Genomic DNA, 25,354 nt, shown 5'->3' on the forward strand with positions numbered 1-25,354 from the left:
AATAGTGATAAAGGTTCCTAATCCTGAAACATATACAACACATGCAGACATTCATTCATACAGGTAGCAAAATGCTAATTAATCTCTTTGTGCCACGTTCTGTGCTAGGTCCTGGAGATACAGATATTACTAAGCATAATCCATATCCGCAAGAAGTTCATTGCCCAAAGGGTATGACAGATATGTGTGGAACTAACTATATTAAAAGACAGGCTCAGGTGTTTGGTGGGAGCACAGAGGAAGAAATGAAATCTGCCTGTGGATGTGGTCACAACAACTAGCCCTTTTATTATGTGTATCTGACTTTAGTATGTATGCTAACATTTCCAGACTCACTTGCTTCACAGCAACTTAAAACTTGCATTTTATCTTCTAACTGCTGAACTCATTCTTATTTGGAGCTTATTTTTCTCAGAACAATCAATCAAGTCTTTCCTTACTATCCACTCTGTGCTAGGGCTTGTGAGGGATAAAGGAGAAGCAGATTATTTGTCCCCACCCTCAAGGTGCCTGAAGTCCAGACAGTTGAGAGTGAAAAGACCCCCAACAATAAACTACTATTTACTACAGAGCTGCCTCTGAATATGTTCAGAGAAGAGAGCTCAGGGTGAGTTGGAAGAATTAGAAAAAAAAAAATCAATGTTCCGGCAGATTCAAACAGCAGTTCAGGCTTTTAAAAACTGCCTACATACAAATATTTAGAGATTCATTTAAATATTCTCCACTGCATAATAACTCAAAAGAGAAAAACAAGTTCAGTGTAACAGTATCTCTCCCAATGCTTGTTAATCTGAATTTATAGCACATTGATCTAGGAGTGCCTTATTTAAATTCTGTTAAAAATCTTAGTTGTAATATTCCTAGCTGGTCCAAAGACAGGGTAGGCTAAGCATGTATTAGTGAAGACAATAGACAAACAGATTCTCAAAGCTGTATACATTTCAGCATAGGAGGAACCTGACATAAGAAAAAAACAGGGATGCAATGAAATTCTTTGAAGCCTTGCTTTTTGTTAGATGAACCTTTGAAAAGGGTGTTTTGAATTTTTGAGGTGCACACACATTTTATGTCAGAGAAATATCACAGGAAGGTATGTTTGGAAAGAAGCTGATGGGGAGTGAGAAATGAGGATTGCTGCTGTAAGGCATTAATGAGTTGGAAGAAGGTCAACAACCCATTTTGAAGTAAATCTATTATCTGAGTTCAGAATGGTCCCAGGAGGAACTTGTACTGACACACCCAAAATTCCCTCTCTAGCCTAGAGAGATGGAAAACAGAGGAAGATAAATCTGATGGTGGTTTTCCGGGTACTTCTTACTCCTAAGTATGATGAATGGAAGTTTTAGACCCTTTGGTTTGTATGGAAGATTTTAAATATAAACATGGTCAATGGCAAATGTGCTTAGAGGTGATAAGTTTATTTTTAAAATTTTTATAGATTTAGTGGGTACAAGTGCAATTTTGTTACATGGATATATTGTGTAATGGTGAAGTCTGGGATTTTAGTGTAACCATCACCCAAATAGTGTACATCGTAAAAAGGTGATAATTTTTATTAGATTTCAAAAAAACATAAATAATTGAAAAGTTATCCAAGCTAGTCATTTAAAATCCATTGAGATATTATTTTCTACCTTTCCTTAAAATTAGTCCTATCTCCTTGGCCTAGCATTTCTCCAACTTCAGTGTACATCAGAAACACCTGGAGAAATTGTATAGCCTGCAGATTCTTGCTCCCCCCTCAGAGATTCTGATTCAGTTGGTATGTGGTGTGGCCCAGGGATCTGCAGGTCAGGAAAACCTAGTGCAATAATAACAGGAAAAAAGCTTTTCATTTCATCTTAAAAACTGTATTTATTATTGTCTGTAATGGAATTGAATTAAAAAGCAAACTGGTCCTATATTTTAAAAGGCTTTCTTTCTTTAGTAGGAGCTTACATGGCCTTTGGAAAATCTTATAACTGCAATTTGGGCCAGACTTGCATTTATTGCTTTATCAAACAACAAAACAATAACTAATTATTATATAGTTCATAATGGCTTATATTTAAATATTATCTTCTAATGAATATCCTTCTTTTATTATGATTATAGATTTATTTCCCAATTCAGAAAAAGCGTTATCCATTTTACAAATATAACTCTATTACAAGTAGAATTAAAAAATACAGAGAAGTTAAGTGATTAGCCTAAAGTCACACAGGAACCACCAAAGAGAGAAGGTGAGAATCTATATTTTCGGAATCACAATGCAGTATTCTGTTAGGCAACGCTGCTTTCAAACTAGAAAATATAGATGGGAGTTTTTAGGAATTGACATTTGAGCCACAGATACTAAACTGTTTCCCTACCTCACTCTGCCAACTTTCATTTCCCCTTATCCCTACCTACCCTACCTCATCTACTTCATCCTGAAGTTCCTTTCCCATAGTTACATATGTTCCTTAAGAATTTATGTTGTTACTAAAAATTTGTGAAATGTCAGAAAGTTGATCTCTTAATGCCATGAAGTTGTGCTGATCACCATTTGATATCAGATCTATTCCTGGCCCTAATGAATACAGTTTTATCTTATCATTTTGTGACTTGGGTGTGAATAGGCCCAAAGGTGTGCACTGAGCACTGAGCATGCATCCCAGGATCCCACTCATAATTAAAGAAGCTAGGTGGCTTCACAAAGTCAGCTTTCTTTGGCCATTCTACATATGGCAGGTTCAGGAATGGCACCTAAATTGCTGAAACCATCGAGTACAGAATCTCTGTGAAAGTTTACTTTCTCTGTTCAGGCCAGACCATGTCAGCAGAATTCCTTTATTTTGCTGCAGTTTGTGTGTCTGGGGAGGGAGGAGGTGGGATGAGGTGGGGATGGGAGGAGTATTCTCCAGGTGCTAAGTGTGCCTTTTGCTCCTTTTGCAAATAGACTTGCAGGCTGCCCTGGGGGAGCTGCTTTTATGCCATGGTGCATTGGTATTGTACCCATTTCATTTTTTTTCTTTTTCTTTTTTTATTATACTTTAAGTTTTAGGGTACATGTGCACAACGTGCAGGTTAGTTAAATATGTTCAAAAATGAAGAGACCCAGCTTGCTTACCATAGCTCAAAAAAGAGATTAGTCAATGAAGCTTGGGAAAATCATGACTTGCCAAATCCTTCCTAACTTTTACAGTCTGCTGTCTGCTGTGTATGTTGTCTAGATACCAAATAGACAGGGGCCTTTGTATCCTTGGCATGGCTGTTGTTAAAAGATAATTTTACAAAAAAAAATTGTAAAATTAAGACTGTCATACAGATATAAAAATGAACAAACACTAAAGATTTTGTTTAACTCAATAATGAGGAAACGTGTGGGGTGTTATAAACAGTCAAAGGGAGAATTCCCAAGAAAAAAGAAAGACACATTTATAAATTAGAAAGATTGAAATGAATGTGGAAATGGAAGCACACTGGCTTCTTTCAAAGTTGAGCAGGGGACCACGCATGGTGGCTCACGCCTGTAATCCCAGTACTTTGGGAGGCCAAGGCAGGTGGATCACTTGAGGTCAGGAGTTCAGGAGTTCAAAACTAGCCTGGCCAACATGGCAAATCCCCATCTCTGCTAAAAATAGAAAAATTAGTTGGGCGTGGTGGCACACTCTTGTAGTCCCAGCTACTTGGGAGGCTGTAGCAGGTGAATCACTTGTACCCAGGAGGCAAAGGATGCAGTGAGCTGAGATTGTGCCACTGCACTCCAGCCTGGGCAACAGAATGAGACTTCATCTCAAAAAAAAAAAAAAGTTGAGCAGGGGTTTGAACATTTACTGGAAGTTTACATGTCTGTGGACAAGAATCACTCTGCATTGCTCTCAGTTTTCCACAGTTTAGAGAGTTGTAAAATTGCTCAAACACAGTGAAAGACTAGAATCAGATAACTTGAAGGGTTGTGATCTAAACCATGTATAGCTTTCCATTCAATTTTTTTTTTCTCTACACTACATTTGGGAAAACAGCCCAGGTCTTGATGAGACTAACCAGTGGGCTTAGAAGCAGTAGGTTCCCTGTTGCCAGGTCTCCTTGATCCTTGTATGCCTGAACTGGCCAACTTAGAAAAATGTTTCTTGAGTCATGTTTTAGGATGCCTTCAGCCTCCTGTCAGGCTCTTGTTTTTGTCTTTGATCCTTTGAAATGGCCATTTGGTTCTATGACAGTTGCAATGTGATGGCAAGGAGACAGAAGAAGAGATTAGTGATGTAGAGATTTCAAAAAAACTCCAGAAGTTAAAAAGTCCCTTCATCTCATTCAGTTTCCACTGCCTATTCCCTTTCCTCAAAGAAAGGGAGTAATCCAAGGTGCTACTCTCTCCCATTCCATGAAGCCAACTTGCCACAACAGTTTGCTTTTGAGTTGATGAACTTGCTTTCAGTCTTCTATTTGATATGGTTTCAATTTTTCTCTTCTGTACATTTCATTCACTGAGCATGTACACAGGGATACACACAAAAAAACCCACATAAACACATGCATCATACACACACCACTTAAGAATTAAATCTTCATGTTTTCCCCCAAATTATGTATCCATCTGTTAAATTATTCATGCTAAAGAAACGGAGCAGAGGAATGGCTAATCCAAAATGCTAGATAATGCCCAAATGATGTAGTGGACTTTGGAGTATGTTTTGTGTGTGTGCTGATGTTTGAAATTAGATGTGCCTTATAAAAGCAGGCATTGGAGTACTGGAGAGGAATGCTTTGAGACTGAAATTATGGTCCTACTTCAACTAGGTTTGTGACCAAGTTGAATTCAGTTTACCTTTCAGCCTCATTTTCCAATTCTGTAAAATGAGAGATTTGAACAAAGTGATCTCTAAAGCCCCCTTCAGCTCTGACAATTCCAGAATATTCCAGAGATTGGCTTTAAGCCAACAGTAAATCAAATAAGCAATCCAAACTCAAACTCAAACTCAAACTCAAACCCAAACCCAAAGGGATTTTGGGAAGCTATTCAGTTTCCCCTCTTGGCCCTCTGTTTACCTCTTCCCTGTGACCTTCCTATTGAGAGTAAATCTCTCTAACATTCAAGTATTCACTCACACTTTTATTCAGTAATATAAATGGCCACCATTTATTGAGTACTTACTAGTGCAGGCACCCTACTAGGCACTGTATATGTATTACTTCAATTATCACAACAACCCCAGAGGTAGATACCATTATTCATTCAATTTTATAGATGCAGAAGTGAGGCTCCAACATGGCAAAGAGTTTACTCAAGGAAACATAGCTAGTAAGCATCAGTGCTAAGATGCAAATTGAGTCTGTCTGGCTTCAAATTCAGAGCTTTTTTTTTTTTTTTTAACTAAAGGGTGTTGCTTCTCCATATAATTATCAGAGTTATGTGCAAACAGTGAAAGGCGCTAGGGAGAATAAAATGTTGAAGATTCGATCTGTGCCCTTAAAGGTTTTCAACAAAGTGGAGAATGGATTATTCATCTGGGTGTTAGGGAAAAAAAATGAAAATGGTCTGAAAAGTAAGAATTAATTGTCAATTGAGTGAATTAAGTGTCAAAAAATTGAAAGGTGAAGTATGAGAAGAATAAATCACCTAAAAAAAAGAACAGAGATATCAAGTATGACCCATTTTATTATCCTATTTATTCACTTCTGTTCAAGTCAGAGGCCCTACTTCTGCCATAAATTGCTATGTGATTTTGGGCAAAACCTATTTCTTCTCTGGGTCTAGGTTTCCTCATTTTTTAAGTGATGAGGATAACTAAATGGTTGCAAGTTCCCTCGCTGCGATTCCATGATTATATAATAACTTGAGGCTATTTTACATTCACCACTGGAATTTAAGAATGGAATCTGAATGGGAGGATTTCATGCAAGGATCTGATCCAATTGTGGGGTAGAATTCCTTAAAGAAATGTGAATCTCCAGAAAATCAGCCAGGGAATTTGCATAGCCCTTTTGCACATAAATCTAATTGTGATAGGGAGAAAAAAAAATGGTGCATTCCACAACTATCCTTTGAAATGTGTCTACGGTATCCTTTAAAATGACACATTATAAGTTAGGGAACGTTTTCAGGCAAATAGGAGATGCCAGAGAAGTAAAGATAGATTTAGTCAGTACATCTGGTACATCTGGTGAAATGAATAGCCCAGCCAAAGGGTTAAAGCTGAATAGCACTAATTGCCGAGAATTCAGATTAGGCATATTTAATAGATATAAACACCCCAACCATCCATCATCCCATCTGGTCCTTCTTCATAGAAAATGGAGAGAAATGGTGAGGGCATGCTGCCCCGACAGACTCTACTTTTCTCAGAACACAACCCATCTTTCTACCAGGATCCCCTCCATTTTCAGAAACGAATAAACAAACAAACCCAGACTTTGCGTCTGCAAGGGGCAATATAGTAGCCCAGACACCTATTGACTGGAAATGTAGCCTCTTTATAAAAGGCAAGATGGCCTGGCACCATTCAAGCTTCAATGCCTTATGAAATGAGAAGGTAAGATCCGGTCTCAGTGCAAGATTTGGCACTTCCATGGCCTTCACATTGTGATAGGCAGGAGTGATAGGAAAGAATTCAAGCATATCAAAAATCCTTGTCCTTTTTCCTTCCTTCAGTTGCCTTAGCACGAAACCACAACTAATCTACCTGTGGACTCTGGCTTTTGACTTAACGAATCCAGCAGTTTTAAAATCAGTGTGGATATTAATTAAAGAAGGGAGACAACCCAAAGTTTAGGTCCCCAGAACAGTCTTCCCTCTTCCTCATTAGTGCTCCCTCACCCCCTCCTCTTTTGTATCTTACTCTTCTCTTTGATTCTCATACAATCTTTCCTTTGTCTTCCCTTACTCTCCCCAGTCCTCTCTTATTCCTTTCCCTTTTTTTTTTCTTTTCTGCCTATGCCTTAAGCCTGTCTGAACTCACTATGGCTTAACTCGGCTGACAGCCACAAAAAACTAAAGAAGACACCGGACCCTGACCTTCAGGATGGTCCCATGTGATCCTCATAAACTCTCTGAGATGAAAGTCCCTGCAACATGCTTTTATATTCTCCACTGAATCTAGGGCTGGATACTGTGCAAATGGTCAATAAACTCTTTTTAGTTAAATGTAATGGGTGAATCACTCTTCTAGGCTTCCATATGTTTCTGGGAATAAGACATTTTGTCTTTCGACAGCTGACAGAGTTTGACATTGACATGGGGACTCAGAATTTGGCCTGCTTGAGAGACCATAGATTTTTTAAATGTTCCTCTTCTATCAGTATTGAATGAGATTTGTTGACAGCATCAAGAGGAAAGTCAAAGTTGTCATTTTTTATTGAAGGTGGTGGAGCAAGAAGTTGGAGGAACTTATTCTATTAACAATTCTTGGCAGCAATCACTCTTCTCTTTTGCCCCCATACAGACGCCTCACTTTTGGGAAATGATTTCAAATCTTAAACAAGATGTTAGCTCAGTTTTATTTCTGCTGAATAGAACAGAAGTTTTAATACTAGAGTTCTGATAGGCTGTGGGCTCTTCTACCCTTTCATTATAATGTACTTTCACTGAGGCCATATAATCTAACTTGTGTAAAACTTGTCATTATTGGGGAATTGACTCCAAATATAACAAATCAAGATGGTCAACTTGCTCAACTGGGAAAGTCAACATTTAAGACAAATCTAATCATGCATGCCAGTTCTCAACGAGGTGAGTTTCAGCCATACCCAGTTGTGCAAGTTTTACACAAAACCCAGTTTATCTTCTTTGCTGCCTAGAGGAAAGGAATTTGGTAAAGAACTTTTTCTTAGTGCTCATGTGTGAAGGTACACCGTCAACACATTAATTCATTTCACTTTCCTCCCAGTTAGGGAAACTTCCTCTCCCGCCTCTCAGAGAGAAAAGAGAAATATGGGCTGTAGGCCAAGCATGAAGATAGATCAAGTGCATTGAGCCTTGAGATGCTGCTTCTACATTCCCATTTTTATTGTTTCATTCGTTGGTAAACATTTCTTTACTGTTATATAGTCGTTTAGATCAAGAGATCTTTTAGATAAAGGGGGCAACCAAAAACTAATTTAGCTAGGTTATGCAGCATGTTATGAACCTATTAGAGAATGACCATCCATAATTCCATAAGTTCTTACTTAAGGTGATTTTTGATAATCGTTCTTTGCTCTATTTTTTCCCAAGGGAGATACAATAAACCCAAAGTGATAAAATAATTATCATCTTTGTTGAGTTTGTCTAATTGCATACTGATTTCCCACCCTTGTTTATTGATCTTCAAAGAATATAAATACAGAAACAACTGCTTGAGTCTCGAAAATTTAAAAATGAAAGGTCAACACTAATAGTTCTGTTATTGAGCCTTATACCTACTTGACAACAGGTTTACTAGGGTAGACCTTTTATGTAGGCAGAGCAGTTGACCTATGCGATGTGGACTTAAAAGCCCTAGGAAAGCTTCTTTATCACTTAAGGGTTCTCGCACCACTTCCACTATTGGCTAATGCTTAAAATCTCACCATTAAAGTTTTGATTAGTGTTTATATAATGTAATGCACATATATATACACACACTCATGCACCCACTAAAACTCCCTAAGCTGTTCTTAGTGATTTATTCCCTAAGTGTGAATGAGAGGTAGATACTTGGTTTTGGATTTGAGCCTAGGGAGAAAATATTTGGTGCCCAGCACCTGAAGAGGCTCACAGAAGGGGTTACATGGAGAGATCAGGGGGCAAGTATATGAATACATAACCAATACCTTTATTTTATGATTTTGCCTAGATTTCACTCTAAGAATGCCACCAACAGAAGTCTTTTTTACTCTGATTTTATTTCCTTTCCTTCATCTTCTAATGTTCTCCCTGAGAGCTAAGGAAAAAGACTATGGGCCTCAACTGAGCTCATTTTAGGGTTGAGAGTGCGTCTTCTACTTCCCTTATTTGCCTTTCAGTGTCTACGTGTCTGTACACTGAAATAAATCAATTAATCATATTGACTGACTTTCCTAGTTCAAAAAGAGAAAGATAAGTGATAGTATCTGAAAAGAGTACAAAAAGGAAAGGTACATTTTCCCATTCTAATAATCAGGCCTACAATTGCTCTCATTAACTCTAAGACTAAGCCCCCTGCCCACTTACCTCCAGTCACCACAATCCCTAAGTAAACAATTTGCCATGAGAAACCACACAAAGAAATGCCAGAATCTATTCAAATGTAGAGAGAAAATGTTACAATGAAGTACCTTACATTCTTACACTAATCACTACTGCTTCCTTGGGAACCAAATAAAAAAGGAAAAAAACAAAGAAAAATGCCAAAAGGGACAAGCAGGATTGTCCCTTTGTCAAATAGGATTTGATGTACTTAAATTCAACAAAAACATATTGAGTCCATACACAGTCAGATAAAGCAGAAATGGTTCTTGCCCTCATATTCTAATAGTTGGAGGGGGTTAATGACAGATGTCAAGTATGTACATAATAATCCTTACAAAAGTTAGAGTTGAAAATGCAATAAAAGAGGCAGAACTTAATTGCTCTGGAGTTCCAAGTGAAGAAGTTATGTCACTAGTAGTCATAATAGTAGTAACAACAACAGTAATTATTACTATTATCTATTGAGGCTTATCATATGTCAGATGCCATGCAAAGCACTTTTGTAAGAATTTTCTTATTTAATTTAATCCTCATACAAACTTGATCCATTAGGGATCATGATTATCCTCATGTTCTTTATGAGGAAACTGAAGCTGAGAAATTTAGTAACTTTCCCATGGTCACACAGCTAGAAAGTAGTGGAACTAGAATTATTCCAGAGCTTGTGTTGATAAAGACTTCACAAAAGAGACAACATTTAAGATGGTCTTTGAAGAATGTGTTGGATTTTAACAGGAAAATAAAAGGACCAATACCAGCAAAACCGTATAGGTTGTAAAGCATATGTGGCATGTTTAGAGGATTGCAAATGGTATAGTTTCCCTGGAGCAAAGCAAAATTTGTGGTGCTAGTGACAGAAAGAGCCAAGTAAGGAGGAAAACCAGTGTAGAAGGAAAGACGATGAGCATGGCTGACACATGCGATAACCTTGCTCCTGAATTTCACACCAATATTTTCATCTTCATTGAGAAAGAACGAATAGGCCAAGAACAGAATTTTAGGACATGATCACACTGATGGGGTAGGAAGAGGAAGAGCCATCAGTTATGTAAATGTAAACAAAGCAGTTAGAATATTAAGAAGACCAGAGGTTGACAGTATGGTGGGTGCCACGGAAGGTCAGGGTGCCAGAAGAAGGTGTTTAGTTCCTACTTTAGTCAATGCTATAAAAATTGAAGAGAATCAGGATTTATAGTAGATTAGCTTGCTACCAGTTATTGATCACTTTCTATGCTTCTGGTACTATGCTAAGCACTTTACAACAGCAATTGTCTACCTAAACTTCAGAACCACTTGTGAGGTAGGGACTGTTATTTTCCCGATTTTAAAGATGAGGAAACTGAAATTTATAGAACTTAAAAAACTTGATCAAGACCTCATAGCTAGTTAAGAGGCACAGCCTGGACTTAAACCTAAATCTGTTTAACTCTGAAGCTTATGTTCTTAATCTCTAAGATCTATTTCCATTTCATTTTTATTTACCAGGAGTTCACCCTTGAGAGAGAGGTTTTTGGCAGAGTAATAAGGGTAAGAGTCAGAGAGCACAGATTGACTAGAAGGGAGAGGACAGATATTAGAATGATTGTGAAATGAGTGGGTGGTAAGACAGTGGAGGTTATGGCTATCAACTTATTCTGTCTATAGTTTAGAGGGAGTGGCAAAGAAAGGTAAACAATGGGAGTGGGTAGCCTGAGGGGACAGAAGAGTCAAGGGAAGTTTCTTTTAATAGGGGAGGAATGAACCTATTGTTGACTGAAGAGTAGCCAGTGGAGAGGGAGAAAGGGCATAATTTATGGAACAGGAATGTGGCAGAGAAAGGAGGAATAAGATTCAGAGGACAAGGGGGAAGGTTCAAATTAGAAAGAAGAAAGACATTTATTAGGTAACCCATGTTCTTAACCTTTTCTCCTCTCCCTGATCTCATCAAAATGTGTCTGATTCAGTAAGCACCTTAGTTGCCTAAGTATAATTACTTATTATACTTGGTATATATTACATGGACTGTTACTCATAAAAATATAATATTTAAAATGTGAGATGACTGAAACACTAAATATAATTAATTAGGAATTATAAGTAATGAATGAATTAAGGTGCCAGCGTATTAGATAATGATATAATAAATATGTTTTATCTCTCTGATAGTTGAATTTTCACAGAAATGTTGGAAACAGAGAAAAAATTTACAACCCCCCACCCCAGGTGACCCTTAGATACAGACAGATGTTAGTGTGAAACTGTCATTCACTCAGCAAACATTTACTGAAAGTCAGCTATATGCCAGGTTCTGTGCTACACACTGGGGATACAGAAATAAAGGACAGAGTTCACATCCCCAAAGATCTCACAGCCTAGTGGATGAGGCAGAGAAATCAACACAGTATAATACAGCTTGATGAATGCTGTGATTGAGGTAAAAACCATGAAACACTGTTGAACTACATAAGGAGGCAGTGGGCGGGGTTCAGGGAAGGCTTCCCAAAGGAGGTGATATTTGAGATGAGTTTTGACCTTCTACTGTTGCTTTTATAGGGATCTGCAAAAAGGGCCAGGAATTCCCCCAGGTGTCACATTACAGGCAACAGCTGCAACTCACTATCCTGGCTTCATCCTCAGTGTCTGACATCAAGGTCACTGAGCCAAAAGTCTTAGGTGGGGGGGAGTATACAATGGCACTAAGTCTAACCTCTGGGCTATTGGGTCATAGGAGAAGATGAGGGCTATAGGTTCCAGATTACAATCTGAATAAATAGCCTTCTCTTTTCCAGGGTTGGGAAAGTAAGAAAGTGGAAAGGGAAAGTGGAGAGGAGCTAGAAGAAGGAAGGAAGGAATAGCTACCTCTTTATTAGATCTTTCTGCCTGCTAGGAAGAAAGCCTTCTCTCTGCATATACACCACTCATATTGTTTTGTTTCAATCTTTATTCTTGGGTGTTTTTCCACATGAAAAGGGCAGTGAATATATCTCACCTCAGTGCAGAGACATTTAGAAATGAAAAACAACTTCAACCAAGCTCTATTTCTCCTTCTTTGAAACTGGAAGACTGATTGTAGGTCAGTTTCTATTTTATCTGAGCCACTTGGCCCATCTGGAATAGTCACTCTAGGAAATCGAAAACTAAATTTAAATTTTACAGAGGAAATTTTGAAGTGACTCCCTCAATCTGGTCAGACACATTCTGTTGCATTCCTCTGTCCAGGCATAACACTGAGCCTCTGACGAAAATCTGAATGACAATTGTCTGTTCTTAGTATTAAATTATTTGCCCCCCCCATTTCCATTAATTTGCAGACTCAGGCATACTATAGCAAAGACTCAACTTGAACTAATTGCCTTTTAAATTTACCTCTCATGTTCCTTTCCTTAGCAAATGAGAATAACCATACATTGAAGCAGGAAAGACTATGGTTAGACATAAGGAAAAACAACCTCAACCAAGCGCTATTTCTCCTTCCCTTGAAGCTGGAAGACTGATTGTAGGTCAGTTTCTATTTTATCTGAGCCACTTGGCCCATCTGGAATAGTCACTCTAAGAAATCAAAAACTAAATTTAAATTTTACAGAGGAAATTTTGAAGTGACTCCCTCAATCTGATCAGACACATTCTGTTGCATTCCTCTGTCCAGGCATAACACTGAGCCTCTGACGAAAATCTGAATGACAGTTGTCTGTTCTTAATATTAAATTATTTGCCACACCCCCTCCTCATTTCCATTCATTTGCAGACTCAGACATACTATAGCAAAGACTCAACTTGAACAAATTGCCTTTTAAATTTACCTCTCATATTCCTTTCCTTAGCAAATGGGAATAACCATACATTGAAGCAGGAAAGACTGCAGTTAGACATAAGGAAGAGCATCATATAGCTACAACATTGAGACTGGCAGTACTAGAAGACATTATGGAACATTTTTAAAGTTTCTTCTTTTCTTTTTTTTTCTTTTTTCTTTTTTTACTTGTTTGTTTGATGTTATTCTTGCTGTTTGGGCAGATGGGTTGTTCATAAAAGACCACATGATTATTAAAGACAATTTGAAGGGGTAAAGAGAAAGCCATTTATCCTGGATGGTTTACCAGTCTGAAGGAGGAAGACAACCTTTTACCTCAAAAATTATATGATTTTACTCTCTGATTTTCAGGTGACCTCAGGTCCACATTAGCCCTGCAATGCGGAAAGTTTTTTCTTGTACCAGGGACGGACTCCTTTTAGAGATTCCTTTAATGGTGTGGAAGAATCATAATTCTAATCAACATGAAAGCATTTGAAAGGAACCACTGCTTCAAATATGGCTATTCAAGAGAAAAGGAAAAAGAAGGCATTAAAATTCTAAGAAATTAAAACTGTTGGAGAAAATTAAATTGCAATTGAGTTAAATCTTGTGAAAAAAATGAAAGAATTTCAGTTTTGGTATCAGGAATTTTGTACATTTGTGGGCACCATGTATGGTGCAGGGTAGATGTTATTCTGAAAAGAACAGATTTCTTTAATTCATATGCTGGGATTCACTTGATCCATCTCAGGCTTTTATGTTGACCTGGGTTATATTTTTTTCTTATTCTTTTCCCAGAATCATCCAGGAGTTACGCCCAGTGGAAAAAGAATAGAGAAAAAATTACATTAATGATCAAATTGGTATTTCATCTCTAAATCTTAACTGGCACATAGAATGTGTAATAATTTAGCCATAGAGGAACTCTAAGTAGAAATATAAGTTCTATTAGGGGAGCCTTAATTTTGTTTTTTATGCGAGTATTTCCCAGTTAGTATTAAGTTATAACCACTTTGGTATTACATACTAAGACCTAGTATGGATGTTGTCAGGTTTGTGCTGAGGAGAAAAGTCAGTAAATATTTCAAATTTAAGTCACTCTGCATATCTCCATGCCTTATCAATTTACTATTTGAAATCATTTATTTCTTAAATTGATCTTATACCATTATTGTATAATTTTTAATCCTTACCTAAGAGCCATCAGGAACTCACCATATTGCATGGGACACAACCTGCTATAACTCTCCACTGGGCATTTTCTGTACAGAGCCAAGCTAAATCTTGCTCTCGTGAAATCAGGCACAAGTAAGATGTGAACATCGGTGCAGCATTCAGAATGTCACCATTAAGGTGATACTGAAAAGAAATTCTAAAAGGGTAAGTAATAGATGATCTAGTACACATCTGAAAGCAGAGGAGCTCTGTGCTTCGAATTAAATATAATACTTTATAAAAATGGAGAGCCTAAAAAATGATGAACCCTTGTAGAAAACTGGAATTAATTACTCTCCATAAAAGGTTTTAATTTTATAATTTCATTTACCTTTACAGAAATAATCGTCACTCCTCATCTTTATTTTAGAATAACCATCCATTCTCAACTTTATTTTTACTAACTAAAATCCCCTTATTAGGCTACTCTCCTTACCTTTCCTTTCCTCCCTGCACCAAAAAAAGAAAGAAAGGAAAAAGGAAACAAAAAACACATTCACACAAAAAAGCCAAAAGCCATGCATTTTAAATACCCAAGACATGAAGCCTATTGGCAGAAATGACAAGTACCGTATGGTCTCCTATTTTTCATGGTCCTCTGTGAGGTCATTGGTTTCTCATTACAGCCAGTCAAGTCATGTCAAACTTGGAGTCTGCCTCTTACCATTATTTATATTAATATCTACTAAAGCTCCAAAGATATTCTGTGAAAATCCAAAACTCTACCTATCTGCATATCTATCTATCTATCTATCTATTTATTATTTTTTCTATCTAACTGAAGACTATAGGAATTGCTTGTGTTTTTTGAAATATATAGGAGGGAAATTTAGTAGCTGTTACTGTTGCTATAACTCATATCTAAACTCATTTAGGTTTGTGTTGGGAATTTGAATTAGAGACAATTCACTTGAAAAAAAAATGAATTAGCAAAAAAGTTAGTGGCCTGGCTTCTCAGGAATGCCTACCATCAGCAGGGACCAGTCACACATTTACTTCCAAACACCTACCCTAGGACCCTTCTTCCATCTCTGTATGAGCCATGACAAAAATTTTCTTGCTATTTCAGTCTATTTTCTTTCGTGTGGGAGCTACAAATAATGTTGCAACAGGCTCAAAATACCCACAGCCATTGAGGCCCAGTTGCAAGAGGATCCTCTAGGACAGAGTTTTGTGTTTGAATATTAAACTGTTGAGATCGTTTGTTTTCACTGTGCACAGATATGACCAAAAAGACTGGGGTTGATTAACAAGCTATTTGCCTAAAAGTCCCAAAAGTTTTTAAAAACTAGTGCAAGCATTGATCATTAAAGTACACAAATTATGTATGTGTGTGTATATATATATATATATATATATATATATATATATATACACACACATATACATATATATACACACACATATCTATATATATAGATATAGATAGATATAGATATAGATATAGATATAGATATAGATATAGATATAGATATAGATAGAGAGAGAGACCGAGAGAGAGTGCCAAACAGGTTTGCCCATTTGTGGGTTTTCCTCTCCTCCAGTAAGTCCAGGCTCTTGTGTTTCCCAACTAATCTATTAATGGCTGGAACTGATTGACAACTGCAACAAAGCCAGTGTAAGCACTGTGGGAGTCCTAATTGGGTAGTTCTTTATAAAGGGAATTGATGACTGAGTAAATATGGTATTGAAAGTAGATGGTAAACATACAAAAAATTAAGCACAAATTAGCTAGATTTAGAGTATAAATACTTACGATTGGAGGACCTGAGAAAGGTTTTGAAATTTATTCAGCAAATAAAAACGTGAGGCCATTGGGAAAATAGATTTTCTTGAGTTGATATGTCAACCCACAAAAGTACTTAATTTGTGCTTGAGGGCTTTTTATTTTATTTTATTTTATTTTTGCCTGGTTAGAATATGGGATCTAACAATTCATTTCTAAGTAAAATCTATGAGTTTATTTGTTCATTCATTTATTCACTCAGCAAATTTTCTCTATGCCAGGCACTCTGCTAGGTAAGGGGTACAGAGAAGAATAAGATGTAGCCCTTGTCTGGGGAGCTCACATCTATTAATAGTAGAAACCAGAAACATGACTAGACAATCTTGATATTCAACAATGACTATAACTGACAGCAGATCCTCCATAACACGGGGAAAGGCTGGATACAGGCAGATTTGTTGGGAGGCTACTTCAGTAATCTAGACAATAAGCAAAGTGAATGTGAACTAAGGTAATGACAGAGATAATGGAGAGAGGAGTAACAAATATTTGAATTATTATTTAAAAGAAATAAAACCTCTAGAATCTAAGGACTTGATGATAGAGGTGGAGTGATGAGGAAAAGGAAAGACTCCAGAAGGACTTCTGTTGACTGACTGGGACAGCAAGGTAATTAGAAGATAGTTACATCAACCAAGATGATATGTACAGAAGGAATATATTTATACATATTGGTAATACCTGATTATTTGTTCATATTTTGGTTTTGAGGTGCTTGGTGGATCACCCATATATGGACATCCAGTATGTAATTGAAAACATGGGTGTGGAGCTCAAGAGAAAGGCATGGACCTTGATGTTTGACTGTGATCCTATAACTGATGTTTACAAAGCCTATGCCTCTGCTTTCACTTTCTGACCCTTTTTGAGTATTGTCCCTTTTTAACCTCGCAAGGTTTCTTCAAGTTCCTTATTCCCTCACGGTATTCACTGACTGCCTAGGGATCCCTACTGACGAAGAAGGGCAAAACGTGTTACCAGATCTCTACTCCTAAATAGCCCCCAATGGTCTGGATCCTTTTCCCCCATATTCCCTGCACAGCCCCCCACTCCTGCCCTCACTCCTGCCCCATCAACATTTACCTATCCTGCAACTCATTCCCTCACAGCCCTGCTAGGTGGTTGGCTAATCTAAATAAATTAGTTTATACTCAGACCTAAGTGACCAATTCTGGTTTTGTGCATCATACTTCCCAAGTAATATACAGATGCAAAGAATGTAGGAATTGCAAGTGGAATTGTAGAATATCAGAGAAGCACTTGGTGTCAATTGGGTTCCTTCAGTGTTTCTTAAACAACATCATTAAACATCATTACACACATATAATTCAGTTATTTAACAACCCTACTTTTAGACTTTTAATCAACCTGAAGTCTTCGTTTCAAATGAATTATCCCTCACCAACTGCATTTCCTTCCCTCAGACCCACAACACATAACCAGCATTTAATTCCTGATCTCTCTTATTCAGCTTTGTAATTTATTGCTATTATTTCCCAGTAAAACCCTCATTGGCAATCAGGCTTCAGGGCGTCCACAAAGACGAATTTCTACTCTATTCACTTGTAACTGCCTGTTAAGCAATCAGTGAATCCTAGAAGATGAGAAATGGAATTGACCACAGAAGGTTATTTAACCCATACCTTCTTGTTAGAAAAGAAAACCAAAACCCAGAGAGATGACAGGACTGACCCAAGCTCACACAACTATTCGTAGCTGATTATAGCTGGAACCCAAGTCTCCTGACACCTAAGCCAGTTTTCTTCTTACTATGTAACAATTGCTTCTGTGGGCATGCTGCCATCATATGCTTTGCTCAAAACATAGTCTCCTTACATACCTTAGAATTAATTATCTTGACTGACAAAGCTCTGTCCTCCATAATTTCCCTTTGGGCTTTTAGAAGCCTCAGCGTGCAACCAAATACAACTTTTGTGTTTTTCAAACTGACTTTTCAATGGATAAATATTCCTCTATGCCAGGTGTCTCATCTCTTATCTTGGCAAGGATTCCATGTAAGCTGGCATAACTGGTGTGGGCCCTACAGGGCTGAGGTGGGTGATAGGACTGTCTATCACCTACAGCTGCAGGTGTTTGTAACGGTGATGGTGTGTACAAAGTTGAAAGTTGAAAATTGTATACAGAGAGCTGAGGTAAATAAACCAGAGAAATAAGTCTAAATAGATTGTTGAATAAAAAAGTGCCTAAGGCAAGCATTAGAACCAGAGTTTAGAACCATTTGGATCTGAAAGTCAGAAAAGAGATCTGGTTGAAACGGGCAAGCAGGAGAGCAAAGACCCAAGGCAGAATTCTGTTCCTGAACCTGGGCTTTTGCATGTTGCCTTTAGCATATTACAGAGATGATCCAGATCCATTTAAAGGACTAGTGACAGGGACAGAAACAATACCACAGGCTGACAGAAAACAAGTCAAATGAGTACCCTCCCTGGATCATGCTTTTGGCCCTCTGCTTCTTTGCAAGAATCAGATGCAAGCTGATGGTCCCAGAATTTTATCTGCTCAGGCCTAGAATAAGTTTCACAACTGGACAAAGTTTTACACAGTGTCAGCGGCTGGGCAAGCTCCTGTTGGCACTGTTCATTTGCCACCTTTCATGTCCAGTCAGTCCTTGGCACCTCTGTTGAAACCCCTCAAGAGAGTGCCATGTATGCTGGTGATCTGATCCCACCCAGTGGGAACACTTTCTGATGATGACTTGTCTGTCTCATATTGACATTGTTGTCTTATGGTTCAATAGCACATATTAAAGCAAGCTTTTTTTTCTTTCTTTCTTTCTTTATTTTTGAGACAGAGTCTCACTCTGTCCCTCAGGCTGGAGTGCAGTGGCACGATCTCGGCTCACTGCAACCTCCGCCTCCCAGGTTCAAGCGATTCTCATGCCTCAGCCTCCTGAGTAGCTGGGACTACAGGGGCGTGCCATCACGCCTGGCTAATTTTTTGTATTTTTAGTAGAGACAGGGTTTCACCGTGTTAGCCAGGATGGTCTCGATCTCCTGACCTTATGATCTGCCTGCCTCGGTCTCCCAAATTGCTGGGATTACAGGCGTGAGCCACTGAGTCTGGCCAAGAGCACATGATTTTAAAATGTCAGAACTCTCATTACTTGGGTTTTGGTGTTTATTTTGATGAGAAAATCAATATTAAGGGTGTGTCAGGCATTAGCAAGGGGAAAAAGGTCATGAGGATGGCAGCTCAGAAGTTGATCTCTCTGATATCAGAGATAAGATTTTTAAGACAATCAAGATTTCCTTTTCTCCCAAACCCCCATAAAATTAAAAGTAAAAATTGATAAATAACATCATAAGGTTTGTCAAGCAAGCCACAGCAACCTCATTCAGGAATCGTTTCTGCTAAATTTTCTGGTAAAGAAGTAGGGACAAAATGCCCACTAACTTCTAAGTGAAAGCAAGACCCTCATATTGTTCTGTCTGAACTCCTTTTTGGCTAGTTTCTACTGTTATTCTTCAAGTTCTTGTTATTTTCTTATTTTTTTTAATTATACTTTAAGTTCTGGGGTACATGTGCAGAACGCGCAGGTTTGTTACATAGGTATATATGTACCATGGTGGTTTGCTGCACCCATCAACCCATCATCTACATTAGGTATTTCTCCTAATGCTATCCCTTCCCCAGCCTCCCATGCCCCCCCAACAGGCCTCGGTGTGTGATGTTCCCCTCCCTATGTCCATGTGTTCTCATTGTTCAACTCCCACTTATGAGTGAGAACATGCAGCGTTTGGTTTTCTGTTCTTGTTTTAGTTTGCTGAGAATGATGGTTTCCAGCTTCATGTTCCTGCAAAGGACATGAACTCACTGTTTTTTTATGGCTGCATAGTATTCCATGGTGTATATGTGCCACATTTTCTTTATCCAGTCTATCATTGATGGGCATTTGGGTTGGTTCCAAGTCTTTGCTATTGTGAACAGTGCCTCAAGCAAGCTTTTCCATCACACCTGTAGCTTCAGAAACAATTCTCAGGTTTGATGTTTGTGTTTTCAGCACTCCTTTTCTAGGCAGCCATGCAGCAAGTCCTGTGTCATTTATTCTCATGACATGCTGGCAAATTTCTGTCCTAAACGTCCCATCATGCTGTATTTTTTCCCTCTTTGATTGTGTAGTTCAAGGCTGCCATATCCCTAGGAAGCTTTGTCCAATGGGCCCAGCCTCCAACCTGCCATAACAATTTCCTTCTCCCAATACACTGTCATTTTGTATTCCTGGGTTGCTTTTGTGTATATTTTGAGGAGTTGAGTGTACTTCCTCTAATCAAATAGTAAAATCTGTAGTCTTTGATAGCAGGGACCATGTCTAATCTTAGCTACGGGCCAAAAGTCTCAAATGCAATGTGATCAGACAATATATGTAAATAAGTAATATGAATAGTCTTGATAGGTATGGAAACAAAATAGTGTGGAGGATAAATGCATCTGACAGTATTTGGTTCCCATTTGAGTTCTGCCATTTATTAGCTGTGTGACCTTCCTCAAGGTAGTTGATATCTCTGAAGGTTTGGTTGCTTCATCTGAAAATGGGGTATATCTATTGCTACCCCACACAGTTTTATTAAACAAGTTTTTAAAGGTATCTCAGGTAAAGTGCTTTTCACAGTGCCTGACACATAATGAGTATTCAATACATGGTAGCTAATATTATGGTTGGCATTTATCAGGTTAATTGCCCAAACATGTGAATTATTATGTCTGCGGTCGCTGGCATGGGTAATCTGTGGCCTTGGCCTGACTCATCACTCCCAAGATCATTATTACAGTTGTGCTACTATCTCCAGCATATGTTCAACTTTATTCTCTCTCCCCTTGTGCTCTCCCTTGCCCTTCTTTACTTCAAGTTTCCCAGACACCTTGTCTCCCACTCCAGATTTTTTTTCCTATCATGCCCATGACATGGACCTGATCCCATACTCGGTACCCAGAAGCTTTCCTAAGCTGTTCTTTTTGCTTTAGTGGTGAACCTGGGGTTGAAGGAAGCTCTTCGTTGTGTTCAGAGCTGCTTAGCACTCCAGGGTAAAGGCAGGGTTGTATTACATGAAGCTGAAATTACATCATAGCAATTGGCGGGAGGGCAAGTGTGTGTGCATATGTGTGTCTCTGTCTGGATTTGTGTGCATTGATTTGTCAGTGATTTTGTGTAGCTTTGTCCAATAGTTCAAACCCTGAGGCTTTTCATTCTCTGAAGAGGGGCTGGATTAGGAAGGGCAAAGGCTTATAATTAATATTCTTTTTCTTAATGGTTGTAATAGCAATTGGCTGTATTTGCCAGTTTTGCTTTTTTAGAGATAGCCGTTTTAGGAGCCATTTAAAGAAATTATCCCATTTTTATAAAGTGTCATCAAACCATTTATATTACTTTGTGGGAAGGCAGACTGCTGTTGGTCAAGCCTATTGAGTCAACATCAATCACTGAATACCTATTTTTTTACCTAATCAATCAGGTGCAGTGGAAGATATAAAAACAGGTAAGGCAAAAGCCCTACCTTCAAAATAGTTTGGTTAGTACAACGTGGATAAGTGTACTTTCTGAATTAGGTCAAAAGCCTCAAACCCTTAATCTATCCCAGCCTATATCCCCATGACAGCAATGAAAATCTGCCTCTCAGTTCTCTTACTGTGAGGAGTGTACTTGAGTGACAGCCCCAGCTGCTAAGTTCTGAATCTGCCACTGCATTAGGGGCCATACTTTTCACAGACTGCTCCCAGCCAGTGACTAAGGACACTAGGACAGGCCCATTTCTGGGAGATGCAGTGTTACCAGCCAGCCTTTGCTCCCAAAGCTCCCAAGATGGTGGTGGGCCGCTCCCAAGATGGCGGCAAGCCTTTTGTTCTCTGACTTGGGGTTCTTGGCCTCAGGGATTCCAAGGAATGGAACCTTGGGCCATGCGGTGAGTGTTATAGCTCTATTAGAAGCCGTGGCTCACGGAAGAGAACTGTGGAACCCAGCGACTAGTGTTTAGCTCCCGGGCACTTAGCTGCACAGGAACAATAGCAAGCCTCTAGCCTGATCGGGAGTGGCAATGAGTGCCTCGCTGGATCAGAAGCGTAGCGGACACCCTGCCAGATCCGGAGGGGTGGAAGCCAGCGATGGGTCTGTGACAACAGTGATCAGCAGTGGTGGACAGCGAGCGAAAGCTCAGCTGGAGCCAGAAAAAAACAAGGACCAGAAGAGTATGCAGTTTCAAGATTTAATAGAGTGGAAACAGAGCTCCCATACAACGGGAGGGGACCTAAAGGGGGTTCCCTCTACCGGCTCGAAATGCCTGGGTTTATATCCCGATCATTGTCCCTCCCCCTGTACTCTCAGGCTTAGATGATTTGATTATTTCTTTACCTCCTGCTTTTAGCCTAATTGGTATTTTAGTGAGCTCCCTTTACTACCTGATGCGTCAGGTGTCAGCTGAGTTACAAACCCCGTGTTTAAAGGTGGGTGCAGTCACCTTCAGCAGCTAGGCTTAGGAATTCTTAGCCTAGGAAATCCAGCTAGTCCTGTCTCTCAGCAGGACTCCTCTGATGGATGGCTTTTACTCTAGGACTTCCCATTGGCTTTGCCAAAACTTTTTAAGAATTGTTCTGCAGTTTAAGACTCATTAACTAACTCTCCATTCTTCCCTTTCTCCTCAATAGTCACAACAGTATCACAATATTTTGGCTCTGCCAGGCTCCTTTGTCTCTCTCCCCATTTTCCCTCACGGGTTCTTTAGCCCTCAGCAAATCTCTTGCAGGTATGATCTTGCCATGACATCTGCTTGTTAGTGGACTTGAACCAATATATCATACAACTCTATACTTTGACTTGCCAATGTTGCTTGGTCACAAGTTAAACCTGATGAGCAGTCCAATGACTCAGTAGCCATAGCACAATGTAAGAAAAAGAACTTGCAATTATTACTTCAGTTCTCTAAGCCTTTGCTATATCTTGCAGTGTTGTTGGGAAGAATTATGATAATGTAGGCAAAATCTCAATAACATGGTAAGAACTTGATACGTTCATTCATATTAATGAGAAGATAACTGTCCTACTAATGGCAGTTCTTATGAAGCAGCTTCTTAAATGAATGACAGCCTTTTCTCATTAAGAAAACTGCTAGATAATATACAAAAGGGAATCAGGAATTTTTCTAGTACCCAGAATTGTATTGTTCTTTTATGATAGAAATCATGAGCAGTAGAACATGTTCAATACAGGGGTCTGGGCTCCTGGAAATTCTGCCTGTGGCTTAACTTGCTAGGAATATGTCCAGTTTCTTTTCTGCAGGTTGTCTCAGGCTGATATGGAATTAGAATTTTTAAAAACAAGATAAAAACTGAAATAGAGAGAAAGAATGAATTTCAAGTTCTAGATGCAACTTAATAATCAAATGGATATGCTTAACTACCCTCAACAACTTCACCAGGTCTGTGATACTACAAGTAATCAGCAGAGCACTTCACAAAGTGAAGTGCTTTCTTCACAAAAATAGAAAAGAAAGGACAGATTCTCCTTCCCTCAGGGCTGCATCACTATTGCATTGTAGAGTTTGCTATACTAAGGAAGAAGCTGTTAGGTGTTTAACGTAGTTGGCACTGAGCTATTGTAATGTATTCTGTTTTCCAAGGCAACAAAACTGTGATTCTTCCTTTGGCAAAAGGCACAGGCAAGCTGATCACTAATTTCACTTACTTGCCCTAGTGTAGGGAATTTCTGTGAAGCCACTGAAAAGGTCAGGGAAGGAATAACAGGGCAAGGTTACCAGTGCACTCAATCCCAAGTGTCAGTGTGGTCGCAGAGCCCTAGGCTGAAGGCAAAGAAGAATACAGTACACCTAGTGGTCCCTGAGGGTAAGAAGAGTCTGTAGGCTATTTAAAGCTGGGGTTAAAGCCTTTCAGATTGCCTAAGTACCATTTTCTGTGTTAATGGTAGATGATAATAGGAAGCTACAACTGAAAGTTAGTGTACATCCAATATGCAACTGAGGGCACTATATCATTATTTTTAACTTTGTGCTTTGCATATTTTCTATGTTTCTAGATAAAAAGAAATGTGTCAAGATTTCGACAATAAATTTCCATAACATGGTCACCTTTATCCTCTTTCTTTAGTCTGCCAATATATTCACTCAGGGCCCAATTCTGTTTTCCAGAATTTGTTAATTGAACTAAATCCTTTAGCCAGCATCAGTCAAGCAAAAAGAGGCAAATAGAGAAAGACTGCTAACCATGACCCACAGGCAATAAAAGATCCTAATGAGCCATTTAAATTGTCAAGTAAAGATTACATGATGTTCGCTATAGTTTTAGCATTTAGTGTATTTGGTTTCTTTCCAACTTCTTGATAAAACAGTTAGTCTATTATGGTATTTCTAATGACTCACAGTTAACTAGAGACTTTGATTAACCAGAATGACTCTATTATTTCCAATACTAAATAATAGTCACTACAAACTTGAAAACATATTGGCCAGGCTCAAATCACAATGTAGGTAACTTCTCAACAAATACTTGAGTTGAGTGCATATGGAAGCTACAGAGAGGCAGAGGTCAGACCCAAGGAGTGTAGGAAATCTGCCTGTGGGTAGAAATGGAAATGTTTAAGGAGTGGGGCAAAGAAGCTTTGTCCTCTGTAAACTACAGAGGAACATTCCTGTCATGTCAAGGGAAAGGTCATATGCTTTCTCTGGAATTTCCCATAAGACAAGAGATTGAAAGACATGTAACAGGAAATATACCGCACTTAGGGGTGCAATTGGGCATTGTCTTCCCAAGGAGGAGAGAAAAGATATCTCAAGTCTTCTGAGGTCTTTCCATCCTTCAGAAAGTAAGGAGGAGGAGAGAGGTAGTAGGGCCAAGCACGCAGAACACTGGTAAAAGACCAGCATTCCGAGTACAGCAGATTATGATATAGGGGCTAATAGGAGCTGTCCTCCCCTAATTAGTGGTGTTGGTCAAGGGGCACTCTTTAGGCCAAGATTTCTTAACCTCAGCGCTCTTGACATTTCAGGCTGGACAATTCTTTGCTGTGGAGGGCCATCTTGTGCACTATAGGTTGTTTTGCAGCATCCCAAGCTTTGACCCACTGAATGCTAGTAACACCAATATCCCCAGTTATGACAACCAAAAATGACTCCAGACATTGCCAAATGGTCTCTGGAAGTCAAAATTGCCCCTAACAGAGAGCCACTGGTTTATAGGGACATTTGAAGACATACCCTTATGGTAATGGAGGACGATGGCACTTTCACAGCGTGGTTGAGTTCCAGCTATTACTCTACTAGGGAATAAGACCAAAGTTCTTTATGTGTTTTTGTTTGTTTGCTTGTGACCAGGGTTCCTGGGACTCATATTCTTCAAATTTTTACCAAATCAAATTGGTGGGGCTGGGGAAAATGCTTGATATTTTTTGAAAAATGTGACATTTCCCCAA

The 25,354-nt window shown here is 38.8% G+C and overlaps 1 protein-coding gene across 2 annotated transcripts in view, besides 2 other annotated features; it reads left to right on the forward strand.

Moving 5' to 3' along the window:
• The window catches only part of IL1RAPL2 (interleukin 1 receptor accessory protein like 2), a 1,201,631-nt gene that overhangs the window by 1,058,985 nt on the left and 117,292 nt on the right, over positions 1-25,354 (forward strand). The gene's annotated exons all lie outside the window — the stretch shown is intronic.
• Positions 11,386-11,910: an enhancer, noted in NCBI's record as "NANOG hESC enhancer chrX:104880562-104881086 (GRCh37/hg19 assembly coordinates)". NCBI's record gives its function as "activates a minimal SCP1, AML or CMV promoter by ChIP-STARR-seq in primed H9 embryonic stem cells {active_cell/tissue: H9 hESC(primed)}" and the evidence as "EXISTENCE:reporter gene assay evidence [ECO:0000049][PMID:30033119]".
• Positions 23,232-23,738: an enhancer, noted in NCBI's record as "NANOG hESC enhancer chrX:104892408-104892914 (GRCh37/hg19 assembly coordinates)". NCBI's record gives its function as "activates a minimal SCP1, AML or CMV promoter by ChIP-STARR-seq in primed H9 embryonic stem cells {active_cell/tissue: H9 hESC(primed)}" and the evidence as "EXISTENCE:reporter gene assay evidence [ECO:0000049][PMID:30033119]".

This window comes from Homo sapiens, chromosome X (assembly GCF_000001405.40).
Source record: "Homo sapiens chromosome X, GRCh38.p14 Primary Assembly".
NCBI classification, from domain to species: domain Eukaryota; kingdom Metazoa; phylum Chordata; class Mammalia; order Primates; family Hominidae; genus Homo; species Homo sapiens.